Source organism: Homo sapiens, chromosome 2 (assembly GCF_000001405.40).
Source record: "Homo sapiens chromosome 2, GRCh38.p14 Primary Assembly".
NCBI lineage: Eukaryota > Metazoa > Chordata > Mammalia > Primates > Hominidae > Homo > Homo sapiens.
In genome coordinates, this window is record NC_000002.12 from 47,267,825 (window position 1) to 47,286,703 (window position 18,879).

Sequence of the window (18,879 nt, forward strand, 5' to 3'; positions counted from 1 at the left end):
CTTAGGAGGCTTTCAGTCTCTGGCTTTGCCCTTTACTAGTGCTGAGCCTCAGTTCCTTCATCCACAAAATGGGATAATAGTTCCTTTTCCATGGGATAGTAGCAATTAAATAAAATATAACATGGAAAATACGTAACACTGGTACCTAACTCATTGTAAGCGTTCTTAGAAGAAAATCAGTTGTCTCTAGGTCGCAATCCGCCTGAAGGTGGGGATTATATCTGATTCATGCCTGAATAAATGAATTCATGCCTAAATACCTGGACTCCTTCTGCTAATGCTTCATCTCTTCTGCTAAGCCTTGCCTGTTTTAGGCCTTGCTAGAAAATATCTAGAAGGGTTAACACCATGTTTTTTCCCCTCCTTCCAGGAGGGCCTGGGGACAACATGATAGCCTGAGTACCTGGAGAGAGAAAGGGGGTCACTTTCATAATGAAGACAAATTCGTGGTGTCACCAGCTCCTCCCTGGCATGCATGCAACCCTTATTTTGGACCTTCTCATTGCCCCAGGATGCTTGAACCCACTGGGGGCTATGAGGATTTGAGAGAGGCCAAGTTTCCCTTAGGGGTGGAGTGATGTATTCCCATTAGAATAAAGGAGTGAATGATTTAAAGGAGGGGTTAGAATTTGGACATTAAGGATAGAATTTGTGGCGCGGGCACGGTGGCTCACGCCTGTAATCCCAGCACTTTGGGAGGCAGAGGCGGGCGGATCAAGAGGCCAGAGTTTGAGACCAGCCTGGCCAACATAGTAAAACCCCATCTCCAATAAGAATACAAAAATTAGCAGGGCATGATGGTGCCTGTAAGCCCAGCTACTCAGGAGGCTGAGGCAGGAGAATTGCTTGAACCTGGGAGGCGGAGGTTGCACTGAGCTGAGATCGCGCCACTGCACTCCAGCCTGGGCGACAGAGCAAGACTCCATCTCAGAAAAAAATAAAAATAAAAAAAAGAATTTGCAGGAGTTCTAGAACAGTATGGGCAACATAGTAAGACACTGTCTCTACAAAATAAATAAATAAAAAATAAATAAATAAATAAATAAATAAATAAATAAATAAATAAATAATCTGGGCATGGTAGCACATAGCTGTAGTCCCAGCTACTTGGGAAACTGAGACAGGAGAATCCCTTGAACCCAGGAGGTCAAGGCTGCAATGAGGTATGATGGCACCACTGCACTGTAGACTGTGTGAAGCAAAACCCTGTCTCTAAGAAAAAAAAAAATGCAGGGCACGGTGGCTCACAGCTGTAATCCTAGCACTTTGGAGGCCAGGGCAGGCAGATGGCTTGAGTCCAAGAGTTTGAGACCAGCCTGGGCAACATGGCAAAACCCTCTCTCTATTTATATTTTTATAAAATAATAAATAAATAAATAAATAAATAAGTAAAGTTTGGAAGTCAATTGGAGTTAGGATTTGGTAATTAGTTATCATTTAATTTCTGAGTGAGAGCCAAAGAGCTGCCAGTGGCTAGATATGATGAAGGCCATCACTTTGGTCTGAAATTTAAAGTGTTCTGTTCCAGAGGCCTGCCTCCTTCACTATGTGGAGCCAGAGATTCCTCCCCTCTGACTGATTCCTGCTGAGAGAGCAGGTTGAGTATCTACCACATACCAGGTGTAAAGTCTGGCATACAGGGTCCAAAGGTGTCAAGAACATAGCCCTCTACAACGAAACTGGGGAGGCCAGGCCTAAGCCTAGGCCTGACATAGCCCAGTGACTATGGGGGAAATCATAAATCTCCTAGCCTTAGCTTTCCTGGCTGGTATATGACCCAATGCCTCATGGGGCTGTTTGAAAAGCCCCAAATGATCACGGAAGGAAAGAACTTTAAAGGGAACCTGCTCTTTGGCAGAGCAAACTGTTCCAAAGGGAACTACAGGCAGGGTTTGGCACCCTGCCCTCAGAGAAGGCTGGTATCCATCCTCCTTTCCTCCATGAAACTCCAAGCTTTCTTGCCCTTGCCACGCCCACCCCATCTTTCCCAAGACCATTTCCAGCAGGGACTCATGCCTCTTAACAGGAACTGACAAAGAAGTGACACACCCCTAAAGCTTTCCGGGCTTCTGGTGTCCCCCACCACCCCCACCACACACACTCCAGCCAGCCCTGGGCTGCAGTGTGACCAATCTCATGAGTCACTTGGATAAAGTGAGGACTCAACAAATATTTATCAAATGAATGAATGAATGAATGAGGCAACGGGTGAGTGAGTGTCTCCATGAATGGGCAGCCACTCCCTCTGAGAATGAGACTGCTTCTTCATTCAGGATGCTGAGTGCTCCCACAGGAAGTCACTCCAGATTTTTCTGATGAGTGCTCCATGGGGGAGACACATTCCCTGTTTTTTCTCAAGCCCCATGTGTTTTATTTTCTCCAGAACTCCATTGTGGGGGCTGTGTCCTACACTCCTTTGGGACCTTATGTACTAGACTTTATACCTGGTATGTAGTCGGTGCTCAATAAATGTATGATGAATGGAAGGGGGAAAGAAAAAGATTAGTAAGACTTGGACCCTACCTTCCAAATTATTACAATTTAGCTAGAGAGAAAAGGCAGGTACAAAAGTACCATAGGACAAAGCCCAGTAGGATAATTGGTACCAAAAAAAAAGGGGTCAAGGAGTGAATGCCACATTCAGAGCTGGGAAAACTCATTATGGGCTGAAAAAGTCAGGAAATGCTTCCTGAAGGGACTGAATGGGATTCTCTTCCTGAAGCCTGGCCTTGAAGGAAGAGAAAGATTTGGAGGCAAGTCAAGGGAGGTGTTCTTGATAGGGAAAAAGGGGATGGGCAGCTCGCCAGAGGAAGGCCGGTTGAAATTATGTTACTTTGAGTCGATTTAGTGGAGCAATGGAAGAGTCCAGCACGTATTGTAAGATAGTGTCAGGGAGGAAATATAATTTTCCCTGTACCCTTCTGAGTCCTTAGCTGGGACCCCTGTAACAGAAGACAGATTAACAAGGAGAAACAAACAGGGCTGGGTGCGGTGGCTCACGCCTGTAATCCCAGCACTTTGGGAGGCCAAGGTGGGTGGATCACCTGAGGTCAGGAGTTTGAGATCAGCCTGGCCAACATGGTGAAACCCCATCTCTACTAAAAATACAAAAATTAGCCAGGTGTGGTGGCGGGTGCCTGTAGTCCCAGCTATTCAGGAGGCTGAGGCACGAGAATTGCTTGAACCTGGGAGGCGGAGGTTGCAGTGAGCAGAGATCGTGCCACTGCACTCTAGCCTGGGCAACAAGAGTGCGACTCATTCTCAAAAAAAAAAGAAAAAGAAAAAAACACAGAAGTTTACTAATATGTAAACATGGGAGACACTCAGGGAAAATGAGAAAACCTTGAAGAGATGACTTAGAACTCTTATATAGCATCTTCAACAAAAAACAATGCAATTTTAGAGAAGTGACAAGACAAAAGCAATGGACCTTGAGTCCCTAGGGGTGGCAATTGTGGAAAGACAAATAACTGAACAAAATAATGGTAGATAAAGGCTAGTTAGCAAAGCTTTTTATGCAGATTCCTCTGGTGCTGTCTCCAGGCTGATAGAGGTCTAAGGCCGTCTTCTGTGATCAACCTTTGTCCTTCCTGATTGAGAGGGAAGGAGGGACACCCTTGTAAATTTATATCCGGCTTTTAGGCAAATAGGGGGAGGGCAGAGAGTTTTTCATGTTTCTGCTTCTTCTCAACTGCCTTCAGCTCAAAATAATCCTTGTGCCCAAGTGGCATATTTTAGGGCCGTGTATTCGGCTACCCTTCATAGGGTGGGGCAAGACCATGCAGAACATTGAAAGCTAGGATAAGAGATTTGGATCAAGTACTAGCAAGGGCATTGGAACAGTGGCAGAAGTGAAAGGGAACGTGTGAGGTGTGGGAAGATGGAGGGAGAGGGCTCCAGGTAAGTATCATAGCAACAGGAGCATGGCAAAGCCTGCTGGTCCCCTGGGACCCATCAGGGCTGGCCAGAGCTGGGTCTTAGGCAAACAGACAAACAGATCCCTAGATCACTTTCCATTTCTTTTTCTTTTCTTTCTTTTCTTTTTTTTTTTTTAAGCAACGGGGACTGGCTATGTTGCCCAGGCTGGTCTCCAACTCGCAGCCTCAAGCAATGCCACCATGGGCTACCGTGCCTGGACTACTCTCCATTTCTTTCTTTCATTCATACAAATAATGATTGGCTCTATCACCAGCCAGAGCCTGCAGAAGTAAACAGGGCAGATGCCTTCCCACATTCCCCAGGGGCCCTGGACTCTACTCTAGGCCCCCATCCCAGCGCCCAGGCCTAAGGCTTGAGGCTACCGAGGCCTAAGGCAATGGCTGGGGGTGAAATCAGCTATGGCTTCTCATTTGCAGCTTCCCTGTACAAAACCGCTAATCTTCACTCCCGGGTTCCGGGCCCACGTCCTCCAGACCATGCCCCTCACCCCCGGCCACCACCCTCCCCGACTGACCACACCTGGAAGGGAAGGAAGGGTGGGGGTGGCCTGCAGAGGGTGTGGCGAGATCTGGACGGCCTGGGGGCGGGGGACTAAGTTGACCGGAAATGGGGCTAGGCCGCGGCCAGGGACGGCAGCAGATGATGGTTGAGGAGTGGCCTAGGAAGGCCTCCCTGACGGCGCCCACACACGCCCCGCGGCACCGCGAACACGGCTGACAGGGCAGTTGGGCAGCGAGGTAGTCGGGAAAGAGCAGGGGGAGCCCAGCGGCTCCGTTGCGCCCTCTGTCGGCCGCCAGCCTCCATTGCACGCGGCGCCGCCCACCTGCGCACTGGGACCCCGGCCCTGGGCCGACCAGGAACCCCTTGCGCCCGCGCCAGCTCGAGCCCTGTTGCACCTGTCGTGGTCACCGCAAGCCTCTCTGGGAGAAGGCAGGTGGGAATGGGAGCCTTTTTTGTAATGGGAATAGAAGCATTCTCGGAAGTCTCCTCCCCAAGGGCACTTAGGAGCCAGCATTACCCAGTGCCTGCAATTCCACCGTTAGACATTCCCTTCTTTGGAGGGGTGGAGAGGCGATGTCTTCAACTCTTATTGGTTATTACGGTAAGGATTTACCAAATGTGCCTAGGAGAGAGCCTGGAGGGGGTGAGTAGTCTAAATCATTCATTCTGTCCCTGAGCCAGGCTTTCATTAGCACTCATTTGCCAAGGCCGTTCTGAAGGTGACCCAGCACCAACAGCCATGCTGTCCAACTGCCAGGGTCGCGAAAGGCTGGTTTCTCTTGCGGTGATTTGCCTTTTATTAATCACCGGATAGCTGAGCCTTCCTCTTCCAGGAAGTCTGCCTTGACTTTTGGGGGTAAACTCCTGTTACAAGCCAGGGTTCTCTGTTTATTTCCCACGAGATTTGCCTGGTATCACCAGAGTCCAGGCTCGTTCAGTGCCCGGGTCAGAAAGCCCCCATCAGCTGGGACACTTCTCTAAGGGAAAAGGAGAAGGGGAACATAGAGTTAAGGGAGCAGACTCGCCCATTTCCTGCCGTCAAGGTCAAGGACACACTCCCCAAGGGCTGGTTGCCTTGGCCTCACATTACTGATGACCTTGATGACCTTGTGAACACCCACCATCTGTTTCCAGAGAGTATCCAGGAGGTCCCATAAGATTGTGAATGCTCTAAAACTTAAGTTAGATGGTCTTCTCTGCTCAGATCCCTGCAATGGTTCCCCACGCCACTTGGAGTAAAAGCTGAGCCTTAGCCTGCATGGCCCTAAGCACTTGGAGCTAAGCTCCTATCGCTGTTCTTGCCACTCACTTCCCTATGGCCATATCGGCCCCATGCTGTTCTTTAAGCACACCAGACACACTCCCACCTCGGGGCTTTTACACTCACTGTTCCCTCTGCCTAGAAGGTCACTTCCCGACACCCCCATGACCCGCCTGCTCCCTCACCTTCCTCGGGCCTTTATTTAAATGCCACCATGGCCGAGCAGCCTGACTCACGCCTGTAATCCCAACACTTCAGGAGGCCAAGGCGGGAGGAGTGCTAGAGCCCGGGAGTTCAAGACCAGCTTGGGCAACATAGGGAGACCCCCATCTTGAAAAAAGAAAAAAGTAAATGCCACCTTATCAGAGAGGCTTTCTCTGACCATCCTGTCTAAAACAATACTCGCCATCATTCTTTGGGTGCTTAGCTCCCTTGATTTTCCACAAGCACCTGTCACTCTCTAACGTATTGGTTATTTTCGTTTATTTGTATGTCGTCTGCCTCCCCAGCGGGAATGTAAGCTCCACAAGAATGGAGAGCTTTATCAGTTTTGTTTACGGCCCAGCACCTAGAATACAGCCTGGCACATAGTCAGTGCTCAATAAATTTGTGAAATGACTGAATGATTGTGCCAGGCACTAAGCCAAGTACCAGGACAGGCCATGAATAATAAGCCTGGGCTCTTGCCCTTGAAGAACAGACTGGCGGACAGGCAAGTAATTACAAACCAGAGCGATGAGTGCTATGTCTAAATACAGATGTATATAAAGTACACATGAAGGCTCAAGGGAGAAAATAATTCACTCTGCCTGGAAGTAAGAGGAAAGAATGAGTATGATGTCATCGGGTAGGGAAGAAAGGGAAAAGGCATTCCAAGCAGAGAGAACAGTCAGAGCAAAGGCTCATAGAGATGTGAACGTATTTGACATGTTCAGAGGGTGGTAAGTCGACTTGCCTGGCTGGAGCACTGGATGTGGGGCAGGTATGGCAGGAGATAATTTGGAAAGAGAAGCTGCAGTCACATGATGAAGGGGCATGTTAGAACTATGACAACTGGCTCTCTAAATTTCAGATCTATGCCAGGCCAGCGGGGACATTGCAGGGCAAAGAACCTACTTCTAACCCCGGCAAAGGCACCGCAGGAGCAACCCTGTCCTCCTGCCTAGGGAAGGCCTGGGAATGTTGCGTGGCCTCCCCAAGTGGGCAGGCTGGGGTCAGAGCACCTGTGGCAGCAGCCTGGTGGTTCTGCTTGCCTTCCTGTTGCTGATTTAAACAGGGCCCTCAATAAGGACCCTACCCAGCTCCATAGGGCCTGAAAGAGTCCCCAGTCACATGTCCACAGCCTTGATCACAAAGAATCTGTTTCAAAATGTCCTTATTTTGCAATCTGACTCAAAAGGATGGGGAGTGGAAAAATTACAGACAGCAGCCACCAAGGGACCTTGGCTTAATATAACTGGTGACCTGGGAAACGACAGAGGCAGAAAATAATTTCCCTTTCGGACTGAGGGATGGAGAGGGCCTCTCATAGCTGACTCAAAATAAAGACTTTCCTTCAAGCAGAGAGAGAGTATTTGTATTTGTATATAGGATTCTTTCTTTTTCTTTTTCTTTTTCTTTTTTTTTTTTTAACAGAGTCTTGCTCTGTCACCCAGGCTGGAGTGCAGTGGTGTGATCTTGGCTCGCTGCAGCCTCTGCCTCTCCAGTTCAAGCAATTATCATGCCTCAGCCTTCAGAGTAGCTGGGACTACAGGCTCAGGACAACATGCCTGGCTAATTGTATTTTTACTTGGAGACAGGGTTTCACCATGTTGGCCAGGCTGGTCTCGAACTCCTGGCCTCAAGTGATCCACCCACCTCAGCCTCCCAAAGTGCTGGGATTACAGGCTTGCACCACTGTGTCCGCCCTATATATAAGATTCTTTTCTCTGCCTCCCACTTTTGTTATTTTGCTCTTTCCCTCCCCTCCACTCTTCCCGCAGCCTATCTCTGCCTCTCAATCCTTCTTTTCGGTTTTCTTTTATTTTCTCCTTTCCCACTTCTCCTTCCACCTGCCAAGTTCCACTCGTCTCCTCCTTCCCTTTCCCTCTCTGTTCCTTCAACTTAAGCACAAGACCCATATTTAAAACTGTTAAAGGATATTTTTTAAAAGGTAAAATTATAATTCTTATGCAAATATAAAATAAGGCCGGGCACAGTGGCTCACACCTGAATCCCAGCACTTTGGGAGGCAGGGGCAGGAGGATTGCTTGAGCCCAGGAGTTCAAGACCAGCCTAGGAAACCTGACAAAACCCTGTCTCCACAAAAAATACAAAAATTATCCAGGCATGGTGGCGTGTACCTGTAGTCCCAGCTACTTGGGAGGCTGAGGTGGGAGGATTGATTGAGCCTGTGAAGTCGAGGCTGCAGTGAGCTGTGATCATGCCACTGCACTCCAACCTGGGTGACAGAGTGAGACCCTGTTTCAAAAAAATTTTTTTTAAATATTTTAAAAATAAAAAATAAAAACAAATATAAAATGAGCATGTCAGTGACTTCAATTCAATTGATTAATTAATGAGGGAACTGGTAAGATATTACAACCAGTTCACAGGAAAATCCAAGAAACAGACACATATATAGGCAATCAGGGATGTTAAAGGGAATTTACTAATAGATGCAAAACCGGCCTCTTCATTTGCATTTCTATGAACAGGAATCTTGTGTTTAAGCATCAGCTTACCATAAGTTAACTTACGTCTCTACAGAGATGCCACATCATTGAAGACAATAAAAGGCACAGATTCCTGTAGAATCAGACAACCTAGGAAGGGTCTTCTACTCTAGACAATGCCTGACATTGTTGAAAGGACACCCAGGAAGCATTGCCCATTTCAAAGTCGTTCACAATTTTTGTTGACAAGATCTTAGAAGGGACTATGGGAGCTGGTTAATATTTTTTCTCTTTTCTTCTTCTTCTCCTTTTTTTTTTTTTTTTCTTAACAAGGTCTCACTCTGTCATCCAGGCTGGAGTGCAGTGGTGCAATTATGGTTCACTGCAGCCTCAACCTCCCAGGCCAAGAGATGCCCCCAACCCCCTCTTCCAACCTCGGTCTCCCCAGTAGCTGGAACTACAGGTACGTGCCACCACGCTTGGCTAATTTTTTTATTTTTTTGTAGAGATGGGGTTTTGTCATATTGCCCAGGCTGACCTCAAACTCCTGGGGTCAAGCAATCCTCCCACCTTGGCCTCCCAAAGTACTGGGATTACAGGCATGAGCCACCACCCAGCCAATAGAGCTGGTAACTTTTTTCAAGTCTCCAAACAGGTCTCTGTCTGGAGGTAGAAATGGATTCTAGCTCAGAGGCTTAGTTCTGGGGCAGGAATGGGGTTGAAAACAATGATTGCCTGGCTGTGATCAAAGCTGAGGGTGATGAGGCAGGTGACCATTGGCCAATACCCCATAAACCCTCATTCTTGTCATCTTACCATCATCTTCTGGCCTTGGAGACGCAGAGAAGCTCAGGGCAAGGTTGAGAGCAATCTACCCCACATGTGCCCAGGGAGGTGGAAGCAGCCCTGGGTATGGAGATGGACATGATCCCTCCTTAGACTATCCCTGGCAGGTGGCTGTCCCCAGGTGACAGCTTTCAGGACCACCGCACCAGGCTTTCATGCCCATTTTCTGAAGCCTGTGACAGCCCTCATTCTCTGCTGCTCAGATCCTGCATGCACCCTGCTGTCCATTCCCAGGCCTCACACAAGTCCTCCTTTATTACCTCTCCCCAGATTTGGCATTTCAGGATCTCTGCAGTTACCTGAAGAGAAACCATACAGATTTCTAAGGTACATGTTCTGACAAGATATGTGAGCTTGGAAGTATGAAGCAATCTGTGAGAGTTTCCTGAACTGTGCAGGTTATTGAGTGCTGAGCCCTGAGTGAGATGCTTGGCAGATGCTGGGGTGGGGTAAGGGAGGATAACATTGGCAAAGAAGATGTGATCCCTGCTCTCAGGGCATTTACAGTCTGGTTTGGGAGGCCAAATACCCAGGAGACCCCAGCAGCTAGTGGTCATGCTCAATGCATGGCGGGGGGATGAGGATGGGGGACATTCTGACCACAGGACCAGCTCTGGAGTAGGCCAGGGAGACCATCCATCATGGGCAAAGTGCCCACATAATCCCTTATCTCCATAAAAGAAAGGGCAGCTACCTTCCTTACCTGAGCAGGTGTCTTGAATTTCACCTCCCCATAGATAGGGCTGCGGGCTGGACCTTAGCTCGTGCCCCCTGCCTCTTCATTCCCACCCTTGCAGAAGAGAGAACTCTTCAGCCTCCAGGTAGAAACCCCAAGCGGGTAATCAAAAGATTAAAAGATTTCTAAGATGCAAAGGCTGAGCAGGTGATGGAATGTGCTCCACCAAACAAGGGGCCTTGGGGTAGGGCTTAGGACCAAGTCACGGACACCCAGGTTTGGTTCTTCTGGTTACTCTGGTAGTTGTGTGACTCAGGACAAATCATTTCCCAGCTCATCCAACAGGGAAGTTGGACTCCCTGATTTCTTTGTTTCTTCTGTCTTTTATATTTTCTAGTGTGGCAAAATACATATAATATAAATGTGAGTGTTAATTTTATCTATCAACTTGCCTGGGCTACAGGGTACCCAGATATTTGGTAAAACACTATTCTGGATGTGTCTGTGAGAGTGTTTCTGGAGAAGATTAACATTCGAATCAGTAGACTGAGTAAAGCAGATTGCCTGCCCTAATGTGGTCTCATCCAATTCCTTGAAGCCTAAATAGAACACAAAAAGGCTGTTTAGGGGAAAATTTGCTCTGCCTGATAGTCCTCAAGCTGAAACATCAATTTCTTCTACCTTTGGCCTCAGATTTAGACTGGAATTATGCCATCAGCACTCCTGGGTGTCCAGCTTGCTGAGCACAGATGGATTGGGACTTCTCAGCCTCCATAATCACATGAGACAATTTCTTTTTCTTTCTTTCTTTCTTTCTTTCTTTCTTTCTTTCTTTCTTTCTTTCTTTCTTTCTCTTTCTTTCCTTCTTTCTTTTTCTTTCTTTCTTTTCTTTTCTCTTTCTTTCTTTCTTTTTTTCTTTCCTTCCTTCCTTCCTTCTCTCTCTCTTTCTTTCTTTTTTTTTTTTTTTTTTGGAGTTTGTTGCCTAGGCTGGAGTGCAATCGCGTGATCTCAGCTCACCGCAACCTCTGCCTCCTGGGTTCAAACAATTCTCCTGCCTCAGCTTCCTGAGTAGCTGCGATTACAGGCATGCGCCACCATGCCTGGCTAATTTTGTGTTTTTAATATAGACGAGGTTTCTCCATGTTGGTCAGGTTGGTCTTGAACTCCTGACCTCAGGTGATCCGCCCGCCTCGGCCTCCCAAAGTGCTGGGATTACAGGCATGAGCCTCTGCACCTAGCTGCCAATTTCTTGTAGTAAATTTTATATATTTTTTTTTCTTGACAAGATCCTAGGAAAGTATAGGAAAGGGAGGTGGGAGCTAATTTTTACATGTGTCTCGTAGCTCCTATTGATTCTGTTTCTCTGGAGAATCCTGGCTAATATAACAAAATTTGCCATTTTGATCATTTTTAAGTGTACAGTTCAGGGACATTAAGTACCTTTACATTGTTGTGTAATCATCACCACTATACATCTCCAGAAATTTGTCATCATCCAAAACTGAAATTCTAAACTCATCAAAACAATGCCTGGGAGATATGGCAAAACCCTATCTCTACAAAAAACACAAAAATTAGCCAGGCATGGTGGTGCGTGCCTGCAGTCCCAGCTACTCAAGAGGCTGAAGTGAGAGGATTGCTTGAGCCTGGGAGGTGGAGGTTGCAATAAGCCGAGATCGCACCACTGCATTCCAGCCTGGGTGACAGAGTGAGACATCCTGTCTTAAAAAAAAAAGAAAGAAAGAAAGGAAAGAAAACCAACAAAAAGCCAGGTGTGGTAGAACACACCCGTAATCCCAGCACTTTGGGAGGCTGAGGTGGGTGCATCACTTGAGCTCAGGAGTTTGAGACCAGCCTGGCCAACATGGCAAAACCCCATTGCTACTAAAAATACAAAAATTAGCCAAGCGTGGTGATGTGCACCCATAGTCCCAGCTACTTGGGAGGCTGAGGCAATGAGAATCGCTTGCCCCCAGGAGGCAGAGGTTGCAGTGAGCCGAGATCTCACCACTGCACTCCAGCCTGGGCAACAGAGCGAGACCCTATCTCAAAAAACAAAAACAGGCCAGGTGTGGTGGCTCATGCCTGTAATCCCAGCACTTTGGAAGGCTGAGGCAGGTGGATCATTTGAGGTCAGGAGTTCAAGACCAGCCTGGCCAACATGGTGAAAACCCAACTCTACTAAAAATACAAAAATTAGCTGGGTGTGGTGGTGCACCTGTAATCCCAGCTACTCAGGAGGCTGAGGCATGAGAATCACTTGAACCTGGGAGGCAGAGATTGCAGTGAGCCGAGATTGCACCACTGCACTGCAGCCTGGGCAGTAGAGTGAGACTCAGTCTCAATAAATAAATAAATAAATAAATAAATAACTCCCTATTATTCCTTCTTACCAACCCCCCTTATAACCACCACACTACTCTCCTCTGTGTCTCTATGACTGTGACTACTCTAGGTACCTCATAGAAGTGGAATCATACAATATTTGTTTTTTTTGTGTCTGGCTTAGTTCAGTTAGCATAATGTTTTCAAGGTTCAACTATCTTGTAGCATGTATCAGCATTTCAATCTTTTTTATTTTTTTTTCCAGACAGGGTCTCGCTCTGTCACCCAGGCTGGAGTGCAGTGGTGTGATCATGGCTCACTGAAGCCTCGACCTCCTGGGCTCAGGTAATACTCCTACCTCAGCCTCCCAAGTAGCTGGGACTACAGGTATGTGCCACCATGCCCAGCTAATTTTTTGTAGAGATGGGGATTTGCCATGTCGCCCAAGCTTGTCTTGAACTCCTGGACTCAGAAGTGAAATCGCTGGATCAAATGGTAATTACATGTTTAATTTTTTTAAGAACTACCATACTGTTTTCCACAGTGGCTGCAACTTTTATAATCCCACCAACAGTACACAAAGGTTCTAATTATTCCACATCATGGCTAACACTTGTTTTTAATAGTTTCTGGCTTTTTGATATAACATCCTAATGGATGTGACGTGGTATCTCATTGTAATTTCTTTTTTCTTTCTTGGTACTCACTGGTTGTGGCATCGTTGTAATTGTGTCAGGCGAACGTGATAACCACTACACTACGGAAACATATCGTTGTAATTGTGATCCACATTCTCCTGATGACTAGAGATGTTCAGCATCTTTTCATGTGTTTATCGGCCATTTGTATGTCTCCTTTGGAGAAATGTCTATTCAAGTACTTTGCCTATTTTTGAATGGGTTATTTCATTTTTTGTTGAATTTTAGGAGTTCTCTATATATTGTGGATGTTAATCCCTTATCAGATATATGATTTGCAAGTATTTTCTTCCATTCTGTGAGTTGCCTTTTTACTGCTGATGGTTTCAAACCTATGATCCACAAAAAGTTTTAATTTTGATGAAGTCCAAGTTGTCTATTTTTTTTTTCTTTCTTTCTTTCTTTTTTTTTTTGAGACAGGGTTTCACTCCCATTGCCTAGGCTGGAGTGCAACGGTGAGATCTCAGCTCACTGCAACCTCCGCCTCCTGGGCTCAAGCAATTCTCCTGCCTTAGCCTCCCAGGTAGCTGGAACTGTAGGTGCAAGCCACTGTGCCCAGCTAAGTTTTGTATTTTTGGTAGAGACAGGGTTTTACCAGGTTGCCCAAGCTGGTCTCAAACTCCCAGGCTCAAGAGATCCACCCACCTTGGCCTCCCAAAGTGTTGAGATTATAGATGTGAGCCACCATGCCTGGTCTATTTTTTATTTTGTTGCCTGTACTTCTGGTGTCATATTCAAGAAATCCTTGCCAAATCCAATGTCATAAAGCTTTTCCTGTGTGTTTTCTTCTAAGAGGTTTTTTGTTCATTTGTTTTTAGAAACAGGGTCTTGCTCTGTTGCCCCAGCTGGAATACAGTGGCATGATCTCAGCTCACTGCAGCCTTGGCTGCCTGGGCCCAAGTAATCCTCCCACCTCAGCCTTCTGAGTAGGTGAGACCACAGGCATGCGCCACCATGCCCAGCTAATTTTTAATTTTTTTTTTTTTTTTTTAGACGGAGTCTCACTCTGTCGCCCGAGCTGGAGTGCAATGGCATAATCTCGGCTCACTGCAACCTTTGCCTCCTGAGTTCAAGTGATTCTCCAGCTTCAGCCTCCCAAGTAGCTGGGATTACAGGTGTGTGCCACCACACCTGGCTAATTTTTGTATTTTTAGTAGAGACAGGGTTTCACCATATTGGCCAGGCTGGTCTTGAACTCCTGACCTCAGGTGATCCACCTGCCTCAGCCTCCCAAAGTGCTGGGATTTCAGGTGTGAGCCATCACAGTCGGCCAATTTTTAAATTTTTTATAGAGATAGGGTCTCCTTATGTTGCCCAGGTTGGGCTCAAACTCCTGAGCTCAAACAATCTTCCAGGATCAGCCTCCCAAAGTGCTGGAATTATAGGCATGAGCCACCATGCCCAGTCTCTTCTAAGAGTTTCATAGTTTTAGCTAGCTCTTCTCTTTATGTTTGATCCATTTTGAATAATTTTTGTATGTGGTGTTAGATAAGAGTCTAACATTCTTTTGCATGCGAATATCCAGTTTTCCCAGTATCATTTGTTGAATACCTGATTTCTAAAACCCTAATCAGTTAGGAATTTTGTTCAGCTTGAAGAAATAAAAACTGACTACAGTAGCCTAAACATATAAGTTTTTACTATTTCACATAAAGGAAGTCCATGGGGAGACTGTTCTCAGCTGCTATAATATGAAGGGTCCATGGAGATCTGGGCTCCTTGTTTCTCTTCTGCCAGACATGGCTTCCATTCTAGGCCCACTATCGTTGTGTGAGCTCCAGCCAACACCTGGGAATTCCAGGCAGCAGGAAGGAGGAGGGGGGAAGGGATAAAACAATGTCACTCTTTTTAAAGGGCCTAAGTCTTGAACTGTAGGAGTTCAGTCAGGATGGTGGGAAAACTTACAGAAAGATGCAAACCTTCTTAGAAGGCTAGGTTTTGTAAAAGCTTCAGGAAAAAATGTGGCTGAAGGCAGCTGAATTCTCTCAGAGTAGATAACAAAGAAGGGTAAGAGAATTGATCTAGATAAGTTAGTTTACTTAGGCCTTGGAACCTGGCCTTTAATCATCTGTGCAGGACTGCTGTCTCTGGGAGGGCAACCATGTTAATTACCCACAAGTGTGTTGACCCAAGGCTTTTGTCATTAAATCTGTACTGAATAAATGCCTGCAGCACTGGCTTATCGAGGCTATGGCTGCTGACTCTTTACAGCACCTTCTTTGGTATCTGTGAGCAGCCCAGTCCCCTAACCGTGCAGCCACACAAAAAACCTGTGTCTGCATACATTTTTTTCATCCATCACTCAGCCAGGGTCTGCAGGTCAGACCCGGCATTGAACACTTGCACTTAGTCTCATAGCTGCAAAGGAGGCTGGGAAATAACAGACCCTTATCTGGCTACATGGCCATTTCAAATTAAATCAGGGCACTCTTGCCAAGGAGGAAGGGGTGAATGAATGAATTGTGGCTTAGATAGCTAGCAGCCTCCACCTCAGGCACCTAACACATCTGAAATTCTGTGATGATCTATCTCCTGGAGAAAAAAATAAGAAAATGGTTACACAGTGCTTAGCAAAATGTCTGGCTCAGGCTATGCACTCAAAAAATGTTAGCTATTATTTTTGCTTCTATTACTCTCTGATCTCAGAGATAGGCCTGTCCTTATACCAGGATGGAACCCATGGTTCTCTATGTGGTGTGATGGACAGACCACAGAAGTGAAAACTGGCCCCCAAAGAGACTCTCTGCCTTACGTATTTCTCTCTTCAGACTCTGTTTTAAATCCAAGGAGGGTGAAATAGGAGGGGAACAGGTAGCCTTAAGAAACAATGCATTTGGCCACCCTCAGCCTCAGTGTAGCTCTCTGTCTCTGAGCTTTTTGCCTGGCTGCCAGCTGGGATCCGAGCCCCATGGGCATGGGAGTCAGAAGGAAGGGGTCACATGGCAGCCAGGGAGTACAGGCTGGGTGTAGCACCGGTGAGGATGAAACGCACAGGAAGGGGCTGTTCAGCTGCCTCTGTTGGGGTGCAGGGGTGGGGGCCCTTTGAAGGGGGCGGAGGAAGTGCTTTGCTCCTCCCTGCCCCTCCCAGGCCATATCTGGACACACTGTCAGGCATAGCCCAGTTAATTGCAGTGAAACAGAGCAGGCCAGGAAGGCCTGGGATCTGGGATCTGGGATCTGGAATCAGCACCGCCTATCAAGTGTGTGGAGGTGGTGCAGAACACAGAGTGTCCGCCGTGTTGCCAGGCCCAGGCAGCGTCTGCCATATAGCTCTGAGGCCTGGGGCCACTCAGAAGTCAGCTTGGAGCAAGGTGACAGCAGGCCCACACTGCCAGGAAGAGAAGTGGGACTGGAACTGGAACCTCATGTCAGAAACCAGGCCATAGGGGGCCTATTTGGCAGCAGAAGAGAGGGCCCGAGGTCAGCCTCAGTGAGCATGATATTCAGAATATGTAATCACCAGTATAGCCAGATGCCCACCAGTGAGGGCAGACCCAGACCTTACAACTAGGACAGGGTTCTGGAGACCTCCTACAAGGCCAGGGGCCAACACTATTTTCTGGATCATGGAAATGTCCTGGGGCCAAGGTACATTGGACCCACCATCTCCTTGTTTCCTTTCTAACTGAAGTTTCTGGAAGTCTGAGTTGAACTTTCTCTTGCACATAAAGGAGTCCTGAAGTAAGGGGATCACACACAGTCACACACAGAGAAAGGCAGCAAAAAGTAGAAAGATGAAGACGAGAAAGTTAAAGTGCCCCGTACTTCAGCCCAGTCAAGGACTAGGAAAGCAAAAGTTTCCTAGTAACTACACTGTGCATTTCCTTAACCATGTTTGATATTAATTCCTGTGCCCAGCCCCTTTGTAGGGAGATGGAGACACCATTTGCTTCCATCTATTTAAAAATAATGAAATGGATACAACTCAGTATTACATGTTGTAGTGGCTGCATTGTTTTTCTCCTATAATTAGGGAAAATGGGAAGAAGTTTTTCTACATGTTCTACATATGCAACATAGATATGGGGGACACAGGAGACAAGAAAATGTGGTTCTTCTTTTTCAAAAACTTACTGTCTAAATAGACAATTAGCCTCTACTAGGAAGAAATATCACAATTGCTAGGAGATAATGCACACACTGTCACAGCTTCTGAAGTCATTGGGATAGACCTTCCAGTTTGAATCTGAAGTAAACTCTGCAGTAAGTTTCCATGGGAAGAATCCTGTAAAACCTGCATTTGCTGTCAGCTTCTTAAATCTGTTGCCATTACTATGTTACATGAAGTGTGTTGAAAGTCATTGTAGCCATTTAGAAAACTGTAGCCAGAAGCTTATGGTGACAATGAATGGGTTTTTTTGTTTGTTTGTTTGTTTGTTTGTTTTTAGCAGTATCACTTTTTTTCTTTTAAAAAATTGAGATATAATATCTACACCATAAAAGTCACCATTTAAAGTATACAATAGGCTGGGCGCGGTGTCTCACACCTGTAATCCCAGCACTTTGCAAGGCCGAGGCAGGTGGATCACTTGAGGTCAGGAGTTCGAGACCAGTCTGACCAACATGGTGAAACCCCATCTCTACTAAATATAAAAATTTAGCTGGGTGTGGTGGTGTGCACCTGTAATCCCAGCTACTAGGGAGGCTGAGGCAGGAGAAATCACTTGAACCCGGGAGGTGGAGGTTGCAGTGAGCCGAGATGGCACCATTGCACTCCGGCCTGGGCCACAAGAACGAAACTCCATCTCAAAAAAAAAAAAAAAAGTATACAATTCAGTGGGTTTTAGTAAAAGTTTGTGCAATCATCACAGCACTGTCTAATTCTACAGCATTTTTATTACCCCCAAAAGAAACCCTATACCTGTTAGCAGTTGCTTCCCATTCCTCCCTTTCTCCAGCCCCTGGCAACCACTAATCTACTTTCTGTCTCTGTGGATTTGCCTACTCTGGACATTTCATATCAGTGGGGTCATATATACCATGTGGTCTTTTGTGACTGGCTTTTTTCATGTAGCATAACATTTTCAAGGTTCGTTCATGTTGTAGCAGGAATCAGTCCTTCATTTCTTTTTGATGCTGAACAATATTCCATTGTATGGATAGACCATATTTTGTTTATCCATTCATTGGCTGATGATCATTTGGGTTATTTACACTGAATGCTTTTTAGGGAAGACTGGTCTATGTTGTGGTCAAAATTATTACAAGTGGCTGGGTGCAGTGCTTCATGCCTGTAATCCCAGCACTTTGGGAGGCAGAGGCAAGTGGATCACTTGAGGCCAGGAGTTCAAGACCAACGTGGGCAACATGGCAAAACCTCATCTCTACAACAAATATAAAAATTACCTGGGCATGGTGGTGCATGCCTGTAGTCCCAGCTACAGGAGGCTGAGGCAGGAGGATCACTTGAACCCAGGGGTTTGAGGCTGCAGTGAGCCATGATCATGTCCCTGCACTCTAGTCAAGGCAACAGAGTGAGACCTTGTCTCAAAAGAAAATTATTATAAGTGATATTTCCTGTTTTCTTAGTCAGTTTGGGCTGCTATGACAAAAATACCACCATAGTCTGGGTAGCTTAAATAACAAACATTTATATATGACAGTTCTGGAAGCTGGGAAGTCAAAGATGAGGGTGCCAGTATATCTGGTATCTGGTGAAGGCACTCTTCCTAGTTCGCAGATAGCTGTCTTCTTGTTGTATCTTCACATTGTCAGGGGAGGCAGACACACACACACACACACACACTCACACACACACAGTTTTTTTTTTTTTTTTTGAGACGGAGTCTTGCTCTGTCGCCCAGGCTGGAGTGCAATGGCATGATCTCAGCTCACTGCAACCTCCACCTCCCAGGTTCAAGTGATTCTTCTGCCTCAGCCTCCTGAGTAGCTGGGATTACAGGCGCCCGCCACCACACCCAGCTAATTTTTGTATTTTTAGTAGAGTTGGGGTTTCACCATGTTGGTCAGGCTGGTCTC

The 18,879-nt window shown here is 46.5% G+C and overlaps 1 long non-coding RNA gene across 2 annotated transcripts in view, besides 4 other annotated features; it reads right to left on the reverse strand.

Moving 5' to 3' along the window:
- The window catches only part of EPCAM-DT (EPCAM divergent transcript), a 152,670-nt gene that overhangs the window by 75,420 nt on the left and 58,371 nt on the right, over positions 1-18,879 (reverse strand). The gene's annotated exons all lie outside the window — the stretch shown is intronic.
- Positions 4,640-4,819: a silencer, noted in NCBI's record as "silent region_11462". NCBI's record gives its function as "represses an Ori minimal core promoter by ATAC-STARR-seq in GM12878 lymphoblastoid cells {active_cell/tissue: GM12878}" and the evidence as "EXISTENCE:reporter gene assay evidence [ECO:0000049][PMID:35858748]".
- Positions 6,379-6,879: an enhancer, noted in NCBI's record as "H3K4me1 hESC enhancer chr2:47501342-47501842 (GRCh37/hg19 assembly coordinates)". NCBI's record gives its function as "activates a minimal SCP1, AML or CMV promoter by ChIP-STARR-seq in primed H9 embryonic stem cells {active_cell/tissue: H9 hESC(primed)}" and the evidence as "EXISTENCE:reporter gene assay evidence [ECO:0000049][PMID:30033119]".
- Positions 6,880-7,380: an enhancer, noted in NCBI's record as "H3K4me1 hESC enhancer chr2:47501843-47502343 (GRCh37/hg19 assembly coordinates)". NCBI's record gives its function as "activates a minimal SCP1, AML or CMV promoter by ChIP-STARR-seq in primed H9 embryonic stem cells {active_cell/tissue: H9 hESC(primed)}" and the evidence as "EXISTENCE:reporter gene assay evidence [ECO:0000049][PMID:30033119]".
- Positions 14,892-15,092: a silencer, noted in NCBI's record as "peak3693 fragment used in MPRA reporter construct". NCBI's record gives its function as "represses an SCP1 promoter by STARR-seq MPRAs in K562 erythroleukemia cells {active_cell/tissue: K562}" and the evidence as "EXISTENCE:reporter gene assay evidence [ECO:0000049][PMID:32103011]".